Source organism: Homo sapiens, chromosome 12, assembly GCF_000001405.40.
Source record: "Homo sapiens chromosome 12, GRCh38.p14 Primary Assembly".
Lineage (NCBI taxonomy): Eukaryota > Metazoa > Chordata > Mammalia > Primates > Hominidae > Homo > Homo sapiens.
Window position 1 is genome coordinate 7,765,077 of NC_000012.12, and position 21,168 is coordinate 7,786,244.

Consider the following 21,168-nt stretch of genomic DNA (forward strand, 5'->3'; position numbering starts at 1 on the left):
ATGGCTATTTGAAAAGTTTTTTTTCTTCATGGCTCCAAAAATAGATGTCAGGAAATGTGTTCTTTTTGTGGAATTCCTTTTGTGAATTGCCACTGGGTGCTCATATTTGTGGCCCACTGACATCCAAAAGATGGATGACATCTACCTTATCTGGTCGGTCATCTCTGTAACCTCCCTACCAAGGACTAATTGGTCTTTAAAACTCCTCAATGCACCGGGCGCGGTGGCTCACGCCTGTAATCCCAGCACTTTGGGAGGCCGAGGCGGGCAGATCACGAGGTCAGGAAATCGAGACCATCTTGGCTAACAAGGTAAAACCCCGTTTCTACTAAAAATACAAAAAATTAGCTGGGCGTGGTGGCGGGCGCCTGTAGTCCTAGCTACTCTGGAGGCTGAGGCGGGAGAATGGCGTGAACCCGGGAGGCGGAGCTTGCAGTGAGCCGAGATCGCGCCACTGCACTCCAGCCTGGGCGACAGAGTGAGACTCCGTCTCAAAAAAAAAAAAAAAAAAAAGAAGTGGCAGTTGTCTGGATATATTTTAAAGAAAGAAAAGCAAGACTTTCTGACAGATTGAGTTGAGCTATGAGAAAGGGAAGAAGTGAAAGACAGCACCAAGCTTTTTGACTCAAACCACTGGGCAGATGGAGTTGGCTTTACTAAGATAGAGAGGCCTGAGTGGGTCAGCGTTCAGTGAAGGGAGCCATAAACTGAGTTTGGGAATTTTAAGTTCAATTCACATAACTTATTAGACATCCAAGCAGAGATATTGAATTGGGAGTTTGACATAGAAGACTGGAAATAAAAATTTGAAAATAATCTCCCTTTTGGGCAGTATTAAAAACCATGAGATTAGATGACCTGGATTAGAGCTACATGTAAAGGAGATAAGAGGTGAAGGGATTTAACCTTGAGTGTGATTGAAAAAGCACAGGGACAGAAATCAGTAGGGGAAAGAGGAGCAACAAAGAAAGCTTTGAAAGAGCAGCCATTGACTTGAGGAAGCCCCAGGAAAGGATGGTGTTCAGGAAGTGGGAGAATAAACTCTTTCAATGTGGAGAGAGATCCCGATACTTCAGAAGCCCCTGATCATTCAAGTAAGTAAGATGGGGACAGGCCAGGCACAGTGGCTCACACCTCAAATCCCAGCACTTTGGGAGGCCAAGCGGGGCAGATCGCTTGAGCTCAGGAGTTGAAGACCATCCTGGCCAAGATGATGAAACCCCCCATCTCCACCAAAAATACAACAATTAGCCGGGCTTGGTGAGGCACGCCTGTAGTCCCAGCTACTCAGGAGGCTGAGGCAAGAGAATCCTTCGAGCCCAGAAGGCAGAGGTTGTGGTGAGCTGAGATCCAGCCACTGCACTCCAGTCTGGGCTTCAGAGTGAGACTCCGTCTCAACAAAACAAAACAGCAAACAAACAAAACAAAACAAACCCACTATCTCACCACCACGATACCCTTAAAAGAAAATGGGGATGGGAAATTGGCCATTTGATTTCTTTTCTTTTGTTTTTGTTTCTTGAGTCACAGTCTTGTTCTGTTGCCCAGGCTGGAGTGGCACAATCTCAACTAACTGCGACCTCCCCCTCCCGGGGTTCAAAAGACATGTCCGATTAGTTTTTTGTATTTTTAATAGAGACGGGGTTTCACCATGTTGGCCAGGCTGGTCCTGAACTCCTGACCTCAAGTGGTCCACCCACTTCGGCCTCCCAAAGTGCTGCGATTACAGGAGTGACCCTCCACGCCTGGCCTTTGTTTTGTTGTTGTTTGTTTGTTTGTTTTGAGACTGAGTTTTGCTCTGTTGCCCAGGCTGGAGCACAGTGGGGCGATCTCAGCTCACTGCAATCTTTGCCTCCCGGGTTCAAGCGATTCTCCTGCCTCAACTTCTCAAGTAGCTGGGACTACAGGCGTGCGCCACCAAGCCTAGCTAATTTTTGTATTTTTAGTAGAGACAGGGTTTCACCATGTTGGCCAAGCTGGTCTCAAACTCCTGGCCTCAGGTGATCTGCCTGCCTTGGCTTCCCAAAATGCTGGGATTACAGGCGGGAACCACCGTGCCTGGCAGCCATTTTACTTTTTTTGCAATGTCAGGGTCATTAATGTCTGACTCTGAAGAGGAATGTGTGGAAGTGGATGTGAAAGCCTGATTGGAGAATATTCAAGAGAGAATGAGGGGAGAAAAATCACCAACAGGCAAAGAACACATACAGAGAACTCTTTAAAATTTTCTTACACTTTATCACATTCTGTAAAAGAAATTGAGAAGAGGAGTGGTAGCAATAGAAGGATGTGGGTTACAAGAGGGTTTTTTTTTTTTTTTTCTAACAAAAGAAAACTTGTGGCCTGGTGTGGTGGCTCACGCCTGTAATCCCAGCACTTTGGAATGCCAAGGCGGACAGATCACTGAAGCTGACGATTTCGAGACCAACAACAGCACAGTTAGCTGCCATCCCACCTCACCCACTGCCGTCTCTTAAAAATAAATACATTATTTTTTTAAAAGAAAATGTATACCAATTAGCAGACACTCCGAATTTTATCCCACCCTCATCTCTGATAATCACTAATTTACTTTCTGTCTCTATAGGTTTGCCTATGCTGGACATTTCATATAAACAGAATCATACAATATATGACTTTTTGTATTTCAACTTTCACTTAACTTGCTTTCCTTTTTCCTCTTTTTTTTTTTTTTTTTCCGGTGTGGCAGGGTCTTGCTCTGTCACCCAGGTGGGAGTGCAGTGTCATGATCAGGACTCACTGCAGCCTTGACCTCCTGGACTCAAGTGATCCTCTCACCTCATTTTTTTATTTTTTGCGGAGAGGAGACCTCACTCTGTTGCCCAGGCTGGTTTTGAACTCCTGGGCTCAAGCAGTCCTCTCGCCTCGGCCTCCCAAAGTGCTGGGATTACAGGCGTGAGTCACCACATCCAGCCCCCGCTTAGCTTGTTTTCAATATTCATCCATGTTGAGCATGAATCAGTATTTTATTTCCTTTTGTGGCTAAATAATAGTCTATTGTATAGATATAATACATTTTGTTTAAAGGGGCAATTGCTGGGTCATATGGTAACTTTAAATTTTAGAGAAACGGTCTTTTTCTGCCTCTATTGAGATGATTGCATGTTTTTTTCCTTTATTCTATTCATATGATGTATTACATTGATTTTCCTATTTTGAACTAATCACATATTTCTAGAATAAATCCTACTTGGTTATGGTGCATAATCGTTTTACTGTGTTGCTGGATTTAGGATTGCTAGCATTTTGTTGAAGTTTTTGCCTCCATATTCATAATGGACATTAATCTATAGTTTTTTAGGGGTGATATCTGTCTGGTTTGAGTATCAGTGTGATGGTCTTTAATGTGGCAACTTGGGTAGGCTATAGACCCCAGTTATTCAATCAAACACTAGGTGCCACTGGCATATTTCTTTTCTTTCTTTCTTTTTTTTTTTTGAGAGGGATTCTCGCTCTGTCATCCAGGCTGCAGTCCAGTGGCACGATGTCAGCTGGCAGGATGTCAGCTCACTGCAAGCTCCGCCTCCCTGGTTCTTGCCATTCTCCTGCCTCAGCCTCCGGAGTAGCTGGGACTACAGGCACCCGCCGCCATGCCCCGCTAATTTTTTGTATTTTTAGTAGAGACCGGGTTTCACTGTGTTAGCCAGGATGGTCTCAATCTCCTGACCTCGTGATCTGCCCGCCTCAGCCTCCCAAAGTGCTGGGATTACAGGCGTGAGCCACCGCGCCCGGCCGGCATATTTCTTTTCTTTTGAGACAGAGTCTTGCTCTGTCACCCAGGCTGGAGTGCAGTGGCTGGGCTGGGATTATAGGCATGAGCCACCACGCCGGGCCTTGTTACTGGCATTTTTAGATGTAATTAAAATCCATATTAATCGTCTTCAAGTAAAAGGGATTATAATCTGAGAAAGCCTAATCCAATCAGTTAAGGCTTTAAGAGGAAATTCTGCCTAGGGAGAGCAGCTCCATCGCACACTGAAGGGTTCCAGCCATCCTTTCGGACTTGCCAAGACAGTTCCAAGATTGCGTAAGACAATTCCCTGCAATGAATTTCTTCTTATTTTTATTTTTATTTTTTTTGAGACAGAGTCTGGCCCTGTTGCCCAGGCTAGAGTGCAATGGTGCGATATCGGCTTACTGCAACCTCCACCCACCGGGTTCAAGCAATTCTCCTGCCTCAGCCTCCCAAGTAGCTGGGATTATATGTGCCTGCCACCATGCCTGGCAAATTTTTTTTTTTTTTTGAGATGCAGTCTCACTCTGTTGCCAGGCTGGAGTGCAGTGGTGCAACCTCAGCCCACTGCAACCTCTGCCTCCTGGGTTCAAGCAATTTTCCTGCCTCAGCCTCCCAAGTAGCTGGAACTACAGGTGCATGCCACCACACCCAGCTAATTTTTGTATTTTTAGTAGAGATGGGGTTTCACCATATTGGCCAGGCTTGTCTCGATCTCCTGACCTTAGGTGATCCACCCACCTCGGCCTCCCAAAGTGCTGGGATTACAGGCGTGAGCCACCACCTCCCGGGTTAAAGTGATCCTCCTGCCTCAGCCTCCCGAGTAGCATGGGGCTACGGGCACGTGCCACCATGCCCGGCTAATGTTTGTATTTTTAGTAGAGACGGGGTTTCACCATGTTAGCCAAGATGGTCTCAATCTCTGGACCTCATGATCTGCCCGCCTCAGCCTCCGAAAGTGCTGGGATTACAGGCATGAGCCACCGTGCCCAGCCTCAAGTTCACTTTTTCTTTGCTCTATGTTTTCCACCAATGTACAACATTGCTAATTTAGAAAAATCAAATATATTCTCCCAGGGAAGATTGTTGACTATGCTCTGAAAGTCAAATTTAGCTGCAGCTTGATTTTATTCCACGGATCTTTTTATACAGAAACAATCAGCTATGCCTTGGGATCAAGATCCAGAACAATCAACTGGAAATTACAGTGAAGATGAACAAAATGGAAAGCAGAAATGGAGAGAAGAAGGAGAAGCAGGCAGAAAGAGAGAACGAGAAAAAGAAGAAAAAAACGAAAAGGAGCTGCAAGATGAACAGGAAAACAAAAGGAAAAGGGAAAATGAGAAACAGAAACAGTATCCCGAGAAAAGATTAGTCAGCAAATCCCTCATGCATACTCTCTGGGCAAAGTTTAAGTTAAACAGGTGCCCCACTATACAAGAGAGTCTATCACTGTCATTTGAATTTGACATGACACATAAACAGGTATGACAACATTAATAGACATTTCTTCATTGATAGACAAAGTCACTTGTATAGTACTATTGCTATATAGACCAATATCCTTATTCCTGTATTAATCACCTCCCACACCTCATTTTTTTGTAGATAAGTCAATGGTTTTGTAAAACGAGGAAGAAATATAATAAAGAAATGTCCAAGAGAAAGCATAAGAAAAAACATATGAGGTAAGAAAGTGTTTCTTGTAAAATAAAAGGAAGTAGAAGGAATATATTGACTTCCGGAGTTGGTTTGTGTTTCCATCATTATTGGGTATGCCCATAAACTTTTTTTTTTTTGAGACGGAGTTTCGCTCTTGTTACCCAGGCTGGAGTGCAATGGCGCCATCTCGGCTCACCGCACCCTCCGCCTCCCAGGTTCAAGCCATTCTCCTGCCTCAGCCTCCCAAGTAGCTGGGATTACAGGCATGCGCCACCACGCCCAGCTAATTTTGTATTTTTAGTGGAGACGGGGTTTCTCCATGTTGGTTAGGCTGATCTCGAACTCCCAACCTCAGGTGATCCACCAGCCTGGGCCTTCCAAAGTGCTGGGATTACAGGCGTGAACCACCACACCCGGTGCCCATAAACTTTTTAATGTTCCAGCCAGTGGCAGAAAAACCACTTACTGTGTATTTTTCACTCTACTCAAAACACCACACAGGCACACACTCACATATGCATGCCACCATTTAACATGTAATCATATTACCAAATGTACAAATACAGACATTAGCTTTTTATTGATTGCAGTACAGAATTGATAATTTTGTCCTGTTTGTTCCTTTGATGCTAAATATATCTGATGATTGTTGTTCCTCTCTAGTTAGTGGCAAAAGCTCATGTGATTTTTGGAAGGAATTAAGGACAGTATCAACAGCTTTTTTGTTTGTTTGTTTGCTTGTTTTTGAGACGGAGTCTTGCGCTCTCGCCCAGGCTGGAGTGCAGTGGCGCGATCTCGGCTCACTGCAAGCTCCGCCTCCCGGGTTCACACCATTCTCCTGCCTCAGCCTCCTGAGTAGCTGGGACTACAGGCACCCACCACCACGCCCGGCTAATTTTTGTATTTTTAGTAGAGACGGGGTTTCACTGTGTTAGCCAGGATGGTCTCGATCTCCTGACCTTGTGATCCGCCTGCCTCGGCCTCCGAAAGTGCTGGGATTACAGGCGTGAGCCACCGCGCCCAGCCAATATCAACAGTTTTAACAGCACTAGACCGTATATAGAATTTTAATGTATTATTTATGTATATTTATTTAGAAATGTTTAAATATTATCTCACTTGATCATTGTTTTTTGTTTGTTTTGTGAGACAGAGTCTCACTCTGTCACCCAGGCTGGAGTGCAATGGCGTGATCTCTGCTCACTGCAACCTCTACCTCCTGGGTTCAAGCGATTCTCCTGCCTCAGCCTCCCGAGTAGCCGGGGTTACAGGCACGCGCCACTATGCCCAGCTAATTTTTGTATTTTTAGTAAAGACCGGATTTCACCATGTTGGCCAGGCTGGTCTCAAACTCCTAATCTCAGATGGTCCGCCCGCCTCGGCCTCCCAAAGTGCTGGGATTCTAGGTGTGAACCTCCACGCCTGGACTCACTTGATCATTAAGCAAAATATGGTGCACCCGGTTATCAATCCCAGGAGAGCAGAACAATGAACACTGGTTACCAACACCGAGGGAATGACTCCCACCACATGGAGGATTGCAAAGATCATCACTGTGCCAACCGACAAGAATAGAACTCCAAATGTCTCCACTCAATGCACCTCAGTATCAGAGTTGTGCAAAACAATGCAGTCAAGCCATGGGTGGAGCAATGCTTTACTTACAGAGCAAGATCAGCTTCCTGGCAGCCAGTGCAGGGAAATTGGCTATGCGTACCCCTCTGGCACATTGGGCTTGCCACAGGGAAAGATAGTCTCACAGAAGACAATAAGCCAGCACAGGTTACATGGGCTCTTTTTTTTTCGAGACAGTCTCACTCTGTCGCCCAGGCTGGAGTGCAGTGGCACAATCTCGGCTCACTGCAAGCTCTGTCTCCCAGGTTCATGCCATTCTTCTGCCCCAGCCTCCTGAGTAGCTGGGACTACAGGTGCCCGCCACCACGCCCAGCTAAGTTTTGTATTTTTAGTAGAGATGGGGGTTTCACCATGTTAGCCAGGATGGTCTCGATCTCCTGACCTCTTGGTCTGCCCACCTCAGCCTCCCAAAGTGCTGAGATTACAGGCGTGAGCCACCGCACCCGGCCTTTTTTTTTTTTTTTTTTTTAATTTGAGACAGAGTCTTGCTCTGTTGCCCAGGCTGGAGTACAGTGGCCCAATCTTGGCTTACTGCAACCTCCACCTCCCAGGTTCAAGCAGTTCTCGTGCATTAGCCTCCCTAGTAGCTGGGACTACAGATGTGTACCACCACACCCAGCTAATTTTTGTATTTTTAGTATACATTAAGTTTCACTATGTTGGCCAGACTGGTCTCGAACTCCTGGCCTCAAGTGATCTGCTTGCCTCCCAGAGTGCTGGGATTACAGGCATGAGCCACTGCACCCATCTGGGCTCTTTTACCTCTTGGTAAGGAAGTATTCCAGGCCCAGGATCTATTCTTATGCGGCCAAGTGGGGATTAAAAGAGTTACATGCATGAGACTGCATTTCCCAGCAATCATTACTCTAAATTATAAATGAGGAAGCGTATATTTTCAGTTATAACTCGAGACATAGTCTAGGCTCTATCAATTTGTTTCACATGTAGTGTTGTTTACTCTTAGTGTCCTCTATTAAAATCCAACTGTGATAGTTTTTTTTTTTTTTTTTCAAAGATGGGGGTCTCACTATGCTGCCCACGCTGGTCTCAAACTCCCAGGTTACAGTGATCCTCCCACCTCAGCCTCCCGAGTAGCTGGGATTGCAGGTGTACCTTACCATGCCCAGCTGGTGTGATGGTGTTTCTAATGTTCTTGCACCATTTCTGCCTCCATAACTTTCTTACCACTTTGAAATTTTAAAATGTATTTTAGAAAGATTACTTTGGCCTTCAATGAAAATTGTTTTCCAGATTTAACATATTTTGATGTGTATATTAAATATATAGACAGCGGCTGGGTGCGTGGCTCATGCCTGTAATCCCAGCACTTTGGGAGGCCAAGGCAGGTGGATCACCTGAGGTCAGGAGTTTGGGACCAGCCTGACTAACATGGTGAAACTCCATCTCTACTAAAAATACAAAAAAAAAAAAAAAAAAAAAAAAAAAAAAAAAGCCAGGCTTGGTGGCAGGTGCCTGTAATCCCAGCTACTCGGGAGGCTGAGGCAGGAGAATTGCTTGACCTGGGAGATGGAGGTTGCAGTCAGCCGAGATTGTGCCATTGCACTCCAGCTTGGGTGACAAGAGTGAAACTCCATCTCAAAAAAAAATTTAAAATAAATAAATATATAGACTGTGTTGCGAAACTCTTTTTTTTTTTTTTTTTTTTAAACAGATGGAGATCTCTGTGTTGCCAAGGCTGGTCTCGAACTCCTGCCCTCAAGTGATCTTCCTATTTTGGCCTCCAGAAATGCTGTGATTACAAGCATGAGCCATCGCACTGGCTAAGACATTTTACATGACACCATTCTCACCAATAAATGGAGTTCTGAAAGGATAAACAAGAAAACATTAACAGTCGTTGATTCCGTGGAGTAGAACTAAATGAGGGGTATGCAAAGGAGTTTTTATGTGTTTTATTTTTACCCTACTGTAGATTTAAAGTTTTTATAATGGATGTTAATTGATTTTATTTAAGAAAAAAAATCGAGTCAAGGCCGGGCACAGTGGAGCACGCCTGTAATCCCAGCACTTTGGGAAGCCAAGACGGGTGGGTTACCTGAGGTCAGGAGTTCGAGACCAGCCTGACTAACATGATGAAACCCTGTCTCTACTAAATACAAAAAAATTAGCCGGGCGTGGTGGTGTATGCCTGTAATCCAAGCTACTTGGGAGGCTGAGACAGGAGAATCGCTTGTACCTGGGAAGTGGAGGTTGCAGTGAGTCAAGGTCGCACAATTGCATTCCAGTCTGGGCAACATGAGCGAAACTCTGTCTCAAAAAAAAAAAAAAGAAAAAGAAAATAAAAAAATCAATGAAGAAATTACCAACCTGTGGAAATGTTTTGAGACTGAAAGGGAAATCCATTATAGAAGCTAACGGGTTCAGTGCCTTCTGCAATTTGTCAATATATTTCTAAACATCCCCTCCAAACATGACTTTTCTCTACAAATGTGATTATACTCCTGGAAGGGCAATTTGTTGTTGTTGTTGTTTTTGTGATAGGATCTTGCTCTGTTGCCCAGGCTGGAGTGCAGTGGTGCAGTCTCGGCTCACGCAACCTCTGCCTGGGTTAAAGTGATTCTCCTGCCTCAGCCTCCCAAGTAGCTGGGATTATAGGCGTGAGCTACAGTGCCCAGGCAAGGGTGACTGTTTTCTGATGTGTGACTTGAGTCAGAGGACTAAGGTCATTTAGATTTTTTTTCTTTTTGAGATGGAGTTTCCCTCTTGTTGCCCAGACTGGAGTGCAATGGTGCGATCTTGGCTCACCACAGCCTCCGCCTCCCGGGTTCAAGTGATTCTCCTGCCTCAGCCTCCGGAGTAGCTGGGATTACAGGCATGCGCCACCACGCCTGGCTACTTTTGTATTTTTAGTAGAGACAGGGTTTCTCCATGTTGGTCAGGCTGGTCTCGAACTCCTGACCTCAGGTGATCTGCCTGCCTCGGCCTCCCAAAGTGCTGGGATTACAGGCATAAGCCACCACGCCTGGACCAATCTTTGTATTTTTTGTAGAGACTGGGTTTCATCATGTTGCCCAGGCTGATCTTGAACACCTGGACTCTACCAATTGTCTCACCTCTGCCTCACAAACTGTTGGAATTATAGGCATGGGCCACTGTGCCCGGCTTCTAATATTCTTTAAATGCTTTTCACCTTAAACTAATTTTGTTGTTTATTATTAAGAACACTGATATACTCTGCATAGCTTGCCATCACACTTAGGATAAAATTATGATTCCTGACTATGGCCTGTAAAAACCTAAAAGATCTGGTCCCTGCTAAAGTCTCCAATCTCATCTGACCACATTCCCTGACTTGCTCGTTACACGCCAAACACACCTTCTTTTGTTTCTCAGAGACAGTAAGTTTCTTACCATCTCCAGACTTATGCTCTTGCTGTTCCCACAGCTTACAATGGTCTGCTTGCAGATTTGAGAGTGGCTGCCTCCTTTGCAACATTCAGATCTCACTTCTAATGTCACCTATTCAAAAATGTTTTCTGTGACTACCTATCTGAAGTAGCCCTACACATACTCAGTCATCTGGTCATATTATTTATTTTTATTTACTTTATAGCACTCAGCATCATCTAAAATTACTATATTTATATATTGCTTCATCTCTCTACCCCCACCATAATGAGAGCTCTCTTAGTGTTGGAAACTTGTTGATCTCATTCATTGTCATAATCACATGTATTTCAACTAGTTTCTGATATACAGTAGGTACTCAATAAATATTATTGAATAAATATGGAATAAAAATTTATTGGCCTGGCGCTGTGGCTCATGCCTGTAATCCTAGCACTTTGGGAGGCTGAGGCCGGTGGATCACTTGAAGTCAGGAGTTCAAAACCAGCCTGGCCAACATGGTGAAACCCAATCTCTACTAAAAATTCAAAAAAATTAGCCAAGCATGGTGGCAGGCGCCTATAGTCCCAGCTACTTGGGAGGCTGAGGCAGGAGAATCGCTTGAACCCAGGAGGCAGAGGTTGCAGTAAGCTGAGATGGCACCACTGCAATCCAGCCTGGGTGACACAGCAAAACTCCATCTCAAAATAAATAAATAAACAAATGAATTAATTAAATTAAAATAAAGTGTATAAGTTAGTAGGGTTTGATACATTATTTCATGGGGAATTTAATATTTTTCTTTTTTTTTGAGATGGAGTTTCCCTCTTGTTGCTCAGGCTGGAGTGCAATGGTGTGATCTCAGCTCTCTGCACCCTCCGCCTCCCAGGTTCATGCAATTCTCCTGCCTCAACCTCCCCAGTAGCTGGGATTACAGGCATATGCCACCATGCCTGGCTAATTCTATATTTTTAGTAGAGATGAAGTTTCTCTGTGTTGGTCAGGCTGGTCTCGAACTCCCAACCTCAGGTGAGCCACCACGCCTCACCAATATTGTATTTTTAGTAGAGATGGTGTTTTACCATGTTGGCCAAGCTGGTCTCCAACTCCTGACCTCAGGTGATCCGCCCACCTCAGCCTCCCAAAGTGCTGAGATTACAGGCATGAGCCACCACACCCAGCCTGTGGTGGTAATTTTTGAGCTCCAGTTTCTATCCCCAACTTTTGAGACTTTCACTCTCCAACTCAAAAAAAGAACACTAGTTAGAAGATGAGAAAGCCCAGGCGCTAGTCTATAAGTGTGTTACTGTACACATCAGCCATTCTTACAGGCTTCCTGCCTATACATCTTTGGTAGTTAGATAAAATGCAGTCTTTTTACCACATTTTTGGATCACAGAAAATGACCGTGAAGCTAAGGAAGACAGGGAGAGTGGAATTTAAGATTAGCCATCAGCCCATCTTTCATTAGCCATTTCTCTAATCCAGTCCTGAATTTTCCTCTTTCCAGTAATATGTAGGGTAGCACTATGTTCAAAGCGGCCACTGGGATTTAGGTATTTTAATATCTGTACTGTGTTTCTAGATAAGTAAAAGAACCAGGTGAATTTATCAGCCCTCAGTAAACCTGGGGGAGCCAGTTTATTGAACTAGTGCTCTTAAGTAGAGGACATTTCCAACTTTGGTAAGTTTATCTCCCATTCCCTATATCACGGAGTGAGAGAAATTTGGAGAAAAGAATTTCTATTTCCTAATCTCAGTTTTTTTTTTTTTTTTAGATGGAGTTTTGCTCTTGTTGACCAGGCTGGAGTGCAATGGCGCAATCTCGGCTCGCTGCAACCTCTGCCTCCCAGGTTCAAGCGATTCTCATACCTCAGCCTCCCGAGTAGCTGGGATTATAGGCATGAGCCACCACACCTGGGTAATTTAGTTATTTTTAGTAGAGATGGGTTTTCTCCATGTTGGTCAGGCTGGTCTCCAACTCCTGACCTCAGGTGATCCACCCCCCTCGGCCTCCCAAAGTGTTGGGATAACAGGCGTGAGCCACTGCGCCTGGCCGGCTCATTTCTTTTGATCACTTACTAATATTTCATTGTGTAGATGGACCACAGTTTATCCATTCACCCTACTGAAGGACATCTTGGTAAATTTTAGCAACTGTGAATAAAACCGCTCCAGCCGGGCACGATGGCTCACGGCTGTAATCCCACCACTTAGGGAGGCCGAGGTAGATGGATCCCCGAGGTCAGGAGTAAGAGACCAGCCTGGCCAATATGGTGAAACCCTGTCTCTAATAAACATACAAAAATTAGCCGGGTGTGGTGGCGGGAGCCTGTAATGCCAGCTACTCCAGAGGCTGAGGAGGAGAATGGCTTGAACCCAGGAAGCGGAGGTTGCAGTGAGCCAAGATCGAGCCACTGCACTCCAGTTTGGACGACAGAGCTAGACTCCATCTAAAAAAAAATTTCCTAACCCCCATTGTGATGATAATAGGAGATAGGGCCTTTGGGAGGTGATTAGGCAGTAAGAGTGGCATCTTATAAATGAGATTAGTGTACTTATAAAAGAGACAGTGTAGAGCTCTCTCCCCGATTTTAGTCACCTGTGAACCAGGAAGCATGCCCTCCCCAGACAGTGAATTTGCTGGAGCCTTGATCTTGGACTTCCCAGTCACCCAGAACACGTGTTGGTGAGGATGTGGAGAAAAGAGAAAGTTTTTACATTGATGGGAAGCTAAGTTGGTGCAGTCATTATGGAAAGCAGTATGGAGATTCCTCAAAAAATTAAAAACAGAACTACTGTATAATCCAGCAATTCCAATTCTGGGTATATACCCAAAGGAAATGAAGCCAGCCCCTTGTAAAAATAACTGCATCCTGGCTGGGTGTGTTGGGAGTCCAAGGTGGGTGGATCATCTGAGGTCAGGAGTTGGAGACCAGCCTGGACATCATGGTAAAACCCTGTCTCTACTAAAAATACAAAAAAATTGGCTGGGTGCGGTGGCTTATGCCTATAATCTCAACAATTTGGGAGGCTGAGGTGAGAGGATCAGCTGAGGTCAGGAGTTCGAGACTAGCCTGGCCAACATGGTGAAAACTCCATCTCTACTAATAATACAAAAATAAGCCGGGCGTGGTGGTGCACATCTGTAATCCCAGCTACTCCGGAGGCTGAGACAGGAGAATTGCTTGAACCCAGGAGGCGGAGGTAGCAGTGAGCTGAGTTCAGGCCACTGCACTCCAGCCTGGGCAACAGAGTGAGGCTCTGTCTCCAAAAGAAAAAAATACAAAAAAATTACTCGAGCGTGGTGGCGGGCGCCTGTAATCCCAGCTACTACGGAGACTGAGGCAGGAGAATCGCTTGAACTTGGGAGGTGGAGGTTGCAGTGAGCTGAAATCACACCATTGCACTCCAGCCTGGGCAACACAAGCAACCCTAACTGCTTCTACATCCCATATATAAGAGAGATCAGCCAGGTGCAGTGGTTCATGCCTGTAATCCCAGCACTTTGGGAGGCCAAGGCAGGAAGATCACCTGAAGTCAGGAGTTTGAGATCAGCCTGACAAATGAAGAAACCTCATCTCTACTAAAAAAAAAAAAATACAAAATTAGCTGGGCGTGGTGGTGGGTGTCTGTAATCTCAGCTACTCGGGAGGCTGAGGCGGAAGAATCACTTGAACCTGGGAAGCAGAGGTTGCAGTGAGCCGAGCTCGCGCCATTGCACTCCAGCCTGGGCAACAAGAGCAAAACTCCGTCTCAAAACAAACAAACAAATACAAACAAAAAACATTATGTTGTATACCTTAAATTTAAACAATAATTAAAACAATTTTTTAATTTGGAACAAATACTAGAAAAAATAGTGATGTAAGACTGTTCCTTATTTTTATTTTCTTTATCTATTTATTTTTGAGACAAGGTCTCACTCTGTTACCCAGGCTGAAGTGCAGTGGCCTCATCTTGGCTCACTGCAACCTCCAACTCCCAGGTTCAAGTGATTCTCCTGCCTCAGCCTCCCAAGTAACTGGGATTACAGGCGCTCATCAACACGCCCAGCTAATGTTTTGGAATTTTAGTAGAGACGGGGTTTCACCATGTTGGCCAGGCTGGTTTCGAACTCCTGACCTCAAGTGATTTGCTCTCCTAGGCCTCCCAAAGTGCTGGGATTATAGTCGTGAGCCACGGTTCCCAGCTAGTTTTAAAGATTTTTAGATGGTTAAGGGCCAGGCGCCGTGGCTCACGCCTGTAATTCCAGCACTTTGGGAGGCCAAAGCAGGCGGATCACGAGGTCAGGAGATCGAGACCATCCTGGCTAACATGGTGAAACCGCGTCTACCAAAAAACAAAAAATTAGCCAGGGCTGGTGGCACGCACCTGTAATCCCAGCTGCTCGGGAGGCTGAGCCAGGAGAATCCCTTGAACCTGGGAGGCGGAGGTTGCAGTGAGCTGAGATCACGCCACTGCATTCCAGCCTGGGCAACAGAGTGAGACTCTGTCTCAAAATAAATAAATAAATAAATAAAAATATTTATACATGGTTAAAGTATGTATTGTGGGTGTATATTTTTATTCTTGCTAACATTTTACCAGAAATAAATTAAAACATAGTTAATTATCTTTCTTAAGTAAATTGAATGTATTAATATGGAAATTGGATCAGGAAAAAAAATCAATTCCCAATACCTTACAGTTCCCAGTAATACTCGGTATGAATAAAGACAGATTAGAGCACAGGACATTTGAGGATTTGGTAATTTACTTGGGAATTTACTCAGAACCATGTATTTTAAACGTCTCTAAGTCCAGGCATGGTGGCTCACATCTGTAATCACAACACTTTGGGAGGCCCAGGAGGGAGGATCGCTTGAAGCCAGGAGTTCCAGACCATCCTGGAAAACCTAGCAATACCTCATCTCTACAGAAAAAAAAAAGTTGCACTCCAGACTGAATGACAGAGCAAGGCCTGTCTCAAAAACAAAAAATGAAAAACAAAATAAAGAAAACCCTCACATCAACCACGTTGGATAGTAATATAGCTGTTCAACAGATAATGGAACTAAGAAAATTAGACAAGTTAAATTAATTCACCCAAGATTCAAGTAGTTGGATTAATGGTAAATCTGGAATTTAAACCCAGGTCTGACTAACCTTATCACTAGAGGCTGCCTTTTCAGATTCCCCAAAACCATATCATCCTATTTATAATTTGTAAGCGCTACAGTAGAAGAATGGGATTAATCTGAGAGAATTTTGCAGGAGGAAAATAGAATACAAAAAATTCCATCTACTCTGACCTTAGAATTCTCACTTTTCTTAGTTATAAAAAAAACAAAGATCTTAAGGAAAGACAATAATGCTTTTAAAAGCAGTGGGTATGAAACAAATTATGTCTTCAGAGGGTAGGCAATAAGTACAGATAGAGGAAAAGGGAACAAATAGGAGACCAAACGCGAGAATAGGTGAGGCCGTGGGTGAAATGGGAGTTCTTACGATACAGTAGAGCAACCGTCATAGCCGAGAGGAGCCAAAGGAGACATAATGAGTAAATAGAAGATATCCTGGACGCGATTCTAGAACATAAAAAGAACAAGTTTTTAGGCCGGGCACAGTGGCTCACACCTGTAATCCCAGCACTTTGGGAGGGCAAGGAGGGAGGATCACTTGAGCTCAGGAGTTCAAGACCAGCCTGGCCAACATGGTGAAACCCTAGCTCTACTAAAAATACAAAAAATTAGCCTGGCGTGGTGGCTCGTGCCTGTAATCCCAGCTGCTCGGGAGACTGAGGCAGGAGAATCTCTTGAATCTGGGAGGTGGAGGTGGCAGTGAGCCGAGATCGCACCATTGCACTCCAGCCTAGCTACAGAGTGACCTCTCAAAAAAAAAAAAAAAAAAAGCACACATTAAAAAAACAAGTTTTTAATCTATGGTCTTTTTATGTTCCAGAATCCTAAACATTAATCAATATTAATAACAGGATTCCATCAAGATTAATATTGATTAATCAAAATTAATCAATATTGATTACCCAATATTGATTAATTAATTGTGACAAATGTACCATGCCTAGGTAAATGTTAATAATGGCAGAACTTGGCCAGGCATGGTGGCTCGCACCTGTAATCCCAGCATTTGGGAGGCCAAGGTGGGTGGATCACAAGGTCAGTAGATCAAGACCATCCTGGGCAACATGGTGAAACCCCGTCTCTACTAAAAATACAAAAATTAGCTGGGTGTGGTGGCACATGCCTGTAATCCCAGCTACTTGGGAGGCCTGAGAATTGCCTGAACCCGGGAGGTGGAGGTTGCAGTCAGCAGAGATCACGCCACTGCACTCCGGCCTGGCAACAGAGCGAGACTTTGTCTCAAAAAATAATAATAATAATAATGGCAGAACTAGGCCAGGCGCGGTGGTTCACACCTGTAATCCCCATCACTTTGGGTGGCCGAGGTCGGTGGATCACTTGAGGTCAGGGGTTCGAGACCAGCCTGGCCAACATGGTGAAACCCCGTCTCTATTAAAAATACAAAAATTTAGCTGGGCGTGGTGGCAGGTGTCTGTAGTCCCAGCAACTCAGGAGGCTAAAGCAGGAGAATTGCTTGAACCTGGGAGATGGAAGTTGCAGTGAGCCCAGATCACATCACTGCACTCCAGCCTGGGCGACAAGAGTGAAACTCTGTCTTTAAAAAAAAAAATTATCAACTGGGTACAGTGGGTCATGCCTGTAATCCCAACACTTTCGGAGGCCAAGGTGGGAGGATCGCTTGAACCCAGGAGTTTGAAACCAGCCTGGGCTGGGCAACATAGCAAGACCCCATCTTTACAAAACATAAAAAAATTAGCCAGGGCACGTGCCTGTGGTCCCACCGCACTCCAGCCTGGGCGACAGAGCAAGATTCCATCTTAAAAAAACAACAAAAAAAGACTCATCACTTTTGTGTAGCACCAGGGTCAGCAAACTATCTCCAAAGGGCCAAGTAGTCAACACATAATAATTTGCAGGCCAGGCACGGTGGCTCACGCCTGTGATCCCAACATTTTGGATAACATAGTGAGACCCATTCTCTACAAGTGTTTTTTTGTTTTTGTTTTTTAATTAGCCAGGGGTGGTGGCACACACCTGTAGCCCTAGGGACTAGGGAGGCTGGGGCAGGAGAATTGCTTCAGACCAGGAGTTTGAGACTGCAGTGACTTATGACAGCATCACTGCACTCAAGCCTGGGTGACAGAGCAAAACCCTGTTTCTTTTTTTTTTTTTTTTTTTTTTTTTTGAGACGGAGTCTTCCTCTGTCGCCCAGGCCGGAGTGCAGTGGCACCATCTTGGCTCACTGCATCATCCGCCTCCCAGGTTCAGAGATTCTCATGCCTCAGCCTCTAGAGCAGGTGGGATTATAGGTGTAGGCCACCATGCCCAGCTAATTTTTGTATTTTTAGTAGAGATAGAGTTTCACCATGTTGGCCAGGCTGGTCTTCAACTCCTGACCTCAGGTGATCCTCCTACCTCAGCCTCCCAAATTGCTGGGATTACAGGCGGGAGACACCTTGCCTGGCCAAAACCCTGTTTCCTTAAAAGAAAAGAAAAGAAAAAAAAAACAAAAAAGACACAGAAATTTGAATTTTGTATACTTTTCACAAGTTATAAAATATTATTTTGATTTTTCCCCTAATCATTTAAAGATGTGAAAATCATCCTTAGTTGGCTGGGCGTGGTGGCTCACGCCTGTAATCCCAACACTTTGGGAGGCCGAGGCAGGCGGATCACCTGAGGTCGGGAGTTCAAGATCAGCCTGACCAACATGGAGAAACCCCGTCGCTACTAAAAATACAAAATTAGCCGGGGTGGTGGCGCATGCCTGTAATCCCAGCTACTCGGGAGGCTGAGGCAGGAGAATCGCTTGAACCTGGGAGACGGAGGTTGCAGTGAGCCAAGATTGCGCCACTGCACTCCAGCCCAGGCGACAGATCGAGACTCTGTCTCAAAAAAAAAAAAAGAAAGAAAGAAAAATGTGGTACTTAAATTCAGCCTTAAAAGATGAGCAGAGGCCGGGCTCCGTGGCTCATGGGCCCGGCCTTTCCTTCCTTCCTTCCTTCTCTCTCCCTCTCTTTCTTTCTTTCTTTCTTCCTTCCTTCCTTTCTTTTCTTTCTTTCCTTCTTTCTTTCTTTCTCTTTCTTCTTTCTCTCTCTCTTTCTTCTTTCTTTCTTTCTTTTCTTTCCTTTCTTTCTTTCTTTCGATGGAGTCTCGCTCTGTCACACAGGCTGGAGTGCAGTGGTGCGATCTCAGCTCACCACAACCTCCGCCTCCCAGTTTCAAGCGATTCTCCTGCCTTAGCCTCCCAAGTAGCTGAACTACAGGTGCCACCATGCCCGGCTAATTATTGTATTTTTGGTAGAGATGGGGTTTCACCATGCTGTCCAGGCTGGTTTCAAACTCCTGACCTCTCGATCCTCCCGCCTCCGCCTCCCAAAGTACTGGGATTATATGCGTGAGTCACTGCGCCTGGCCGGTGATATAATTAATTTTTTTCCTAGCTGAATAGCAATCTCTGCTCACTGCAACCTCTGCCTCACGGGTTTCAAGCAATTCTCCTGCCTCAGCCTCCTGAGTAGCTGGGATTACAGGCAAGCGCCACCATGCCTGGCTAATTTTTGTATTTTTTTTTTTTTTAGCAGAGACGGGGTTTCACCATGTTGGTCAGGCTAGACTCGAACTCCTAACCTCGTGATCCACCCACCTCAGCCTCCCAAAGTGCTGGGATTACAGGCAGGAGCCACAGCACCTGGCTGAACTCTTTCTTTTACATAATTAAACTTATTTGCTCCTGGTGGCAGGGACCTCTTGCCCCCTCTTCCTCCAACCCCTTTACAATAACTGAAATACTCTGATGTCCTGCAATATTCTTACTATTTATTTATTTTTTGTAAAAAGCTTTTAATACTACTCAACTGCAGTAGTGAGGGGGGGGGGGAAGTAGAGCAAGGAGTATGATCTGTAACTGATCCTGAACAATCAATTGGGATAACTCACTGCCTAGATAATTCACTATTTAGATGCTGTATTATTAGGGTCAACAGCTAACTGGAGCAACAGCTAAAGTCAAGATAAGAGAATTGTCATAGGTGCTGGACTTTTCTCTCCTCAACATCATCACTTCACCTTCCTGAACTCCGCCCACATGTTCTTCTTCCTCCTTCTCTAACACCTACTGAGAAATTGAGAAGGCGATTCTCTTCTGGCCAATAATATTATACTATTTCAGAGCAAGGTTCTATATGCTAAACTTTGGAAGGCATTCTTAGATATTCCTCCTCCCTGCGGGCTAGACTTACTAGGGGTTAAAAAGAAATCCCTTTTTACATTGGGTCAAAGGTCCCCTGAGGGTAGGGTGGGAAGGAGGAAGTCATAAATACCCTGGCAACAATAGTGTTGGTCAAGGTCAGGACCATTTTTTTTTCCTCCTATTTTTCAGGAACCAAAAAATGGTCAGGACTATTTTTGACAATTCGGCTTGATGGTTTAGTCTTCTGAACTCTCCAGTAGACCTTAGAACTTGGTATACATAGTAATTCAGTCCTTGAATATTAAAAGCCTTTAGTTAGAGTAAGATCTGACAAATTCAAAGCTGAGCCGTGAGTCAGAAATTTTTTTCTCAGCACCATAGGAAAAAAATCATAATAAAAAAATTAAGAGAAGAAATGTGTTGTTTTGTTTTGGGTTATTTTTTTGAGACGGAATTTCGCTCTTGTTGCCCAGGCTGGAGGGCAATGGCGTGATCTTGGCTCACCGCAACCTCTGCCTCCTGGGTTCAAGCGATTCTCCTGCCTCAGCCTCCTGAGTAGCTGGAATTACAAACACATGCCACCATCCTTGGCTAATTTTTGTATTTTTAGTAGAGACAGGATTTTACCATGTTGGTCAGGCTGGTCTCGAACTCCTGACCTCGTGATCCGCCCGCCTCGGCCTCCCAAAGTGCTGGGATTACAGGCGTGAGCCACTGCACCTAGCTGCTTGTGTTTTTATAGGTATAACAGGCAAAATAAGTGAAGAATATGCTGTATAATTCCATCTGTAATCTTCAAACTAGCAGTTTCCGTAGCTGTGGTGTTCATCTTCCCATCATTGGTAATTGGAGAGTAACTCTACCTCCCAGAGGAAGGAGGACTGTTGTAAATTAAAGGCTCATTGTTCAAGCCTCATTGAATTGTCAGTGTAGGGGACCTGAGGCAAAGAGCATTGTTGTTTTCAAGAGTTATTCTGTATATCACATTGATGTGCAGTTCAATATTTAAATGTAAGGAAATGACTCCTACTCTCTATTTGTTTACAAAACCCTAGTTCTCATTTATGCCCATTCCTTCATCAACAAATAATGATTTTCTACTTTTTGCCTGGTTCTCTCTAGAAGAGTAGTTCTTAAACAATAGCATTCAGAAAAATCACCTGGTTTCAATGGTAGGCTGTCATGAAAAAAAAAAAAAAATCACAGGGAGAATTTTAAAACACAGATTCCTGGTCCCAACCACCAAAGATTCCTATTCAGTGGTGAAGCCCATCAATCAGCATCTCTAACAAGCTTCCAAGTGGTGCTGAGGATGCTGGTGAATGATCCATTCATACTCTTCTAGGGCTGTAGATAATAAATTAAACAGGCAAAAATAAAAATAGGCTGGCGCGGTGGCTTACACCTGTAATCCCAGCACTTTGGGAGGCCAAGGTGGGTGGACCACCTGAGGTCAGGAGTTCTAGACCAGCCTGGCCAACATGGTGAACCCC

The 21,168-nt window shown here is 44.7% G+C and overlaps 1 protein-coding gene across 1 annotated transcript, besides 5 other annotated features; it reads left to right on the forward strand.

The window, feature by feature from the left end:
* The first annotated feature begins 139 nt into the window (after positions 1 to 139).
* Positions 140 to 9,045, forward strand: NANOGNB (NANOG neighbor homeobox). Its single transcript, NM_001145465.1, has 4 exons — positions 140 to 311; positions 4,907 to 5,239; positions 5,363 to 5,442; positions 8,724 to 9,045. The coding sequence occupies exons 1-4, from the start codon at positions 210 to 212 to the stop codon at positions 8,773 to 8,775; spliced, it is 567 nt and encodes a 188-aa protein (NP_001138937.1). The 5' UTR covers positions 140 to 209; the 3' UTR covers positions 8,776 to 9,045.
* Positions 1,251 to 1,850: an enhancer, noted in NCBI's record as "H3K27ac-H3K4me1 hESC enhancer chr12:7918923-7919522 (GRCh37/hg19 assembly coordinates)". NCBI's record gives its function as "activates a minimal SCP1, AML or CMV promoter by ChIP-STARR-seq in naive and primed H9 embryonic stem cells {active_cell/tissue: H9 hESC(naive and primed)}" and the evidence as "EXISTENCE:reporter gene assay evidence [ECO:0000049][PMID:30033119]".
* Positions 1,851 to 2,450: an enhancer, noted in NCBI's record as "H3K27ac-H3K4me1 hESC enhancer chr12:7919523-7920122 (GRCh37/hg19 assembly coordinates)". NCBI's record gives its function as "activates a minimal SCP1, AML or CMV promoter by ChIP-STARR-seq in primed H9 embryonic stem cells {active_cell/tissue: H9 hESC(primed)}" and the evidence as "EXISTENCE:reporter gene assay evidence [ECO:0000049][PMID:30033119]".
* Positions 7,220 to 7,387: a silencer, noted in NCBI's record as "fragment chr12:7924892-7925059 (GRCh37/hg19 assembly coordinates)". NCBI's record gives its function as "represses an EF-1alpha promoter that drives an FKBP-Casp9 reporter gene in an ReSE screen in K562 erythroleukemia cells {active_cell/tissue: K562}" and the evidence as "EXISTENCE:reporter gene assay evidence [ECO:0000049][PMID:32094911]".
* Positions 20,676 to 20,838: a conserved region, noted in NCBI's record as "conserved region; CR4". NCBI's record gives the evidence for it as "COORDINATES:sequence alignment evidence [ECO:0000200][PMID:19522013]".
* Positions 20,676 to 21,168: part of a biological region, named in NCBI's record as "NANOG 5' regulatory region", that runs on past the window's edge. NCBI's record gives its function as "regulatory_interactions: NANOG".

Bases quoted from the DNA above. Each gene is read 5' to 3' on its own strand.
- NANOGNB (NM_001145465.1), top strand. From the start codon at position 210: ATGCACCGGGCGCGGTGGCTCACGCCTGTAATCCCAGCACTTTGGGAG. The intron at 5,240-5,362 runs GTATGACAACAT...ATTTTTTTGTAG, and splicing joins TTGACATGACACATAAACAG to ATAAGTCAATGGTTTTGTAA. The intron at 5,443-8,723 runs GTAAGAAAGTGT...TTTTTTAAACAG, and splicing joins CATAAGAAAAAACATATGAG to ATGGAGATCTCTGTGTTGCC.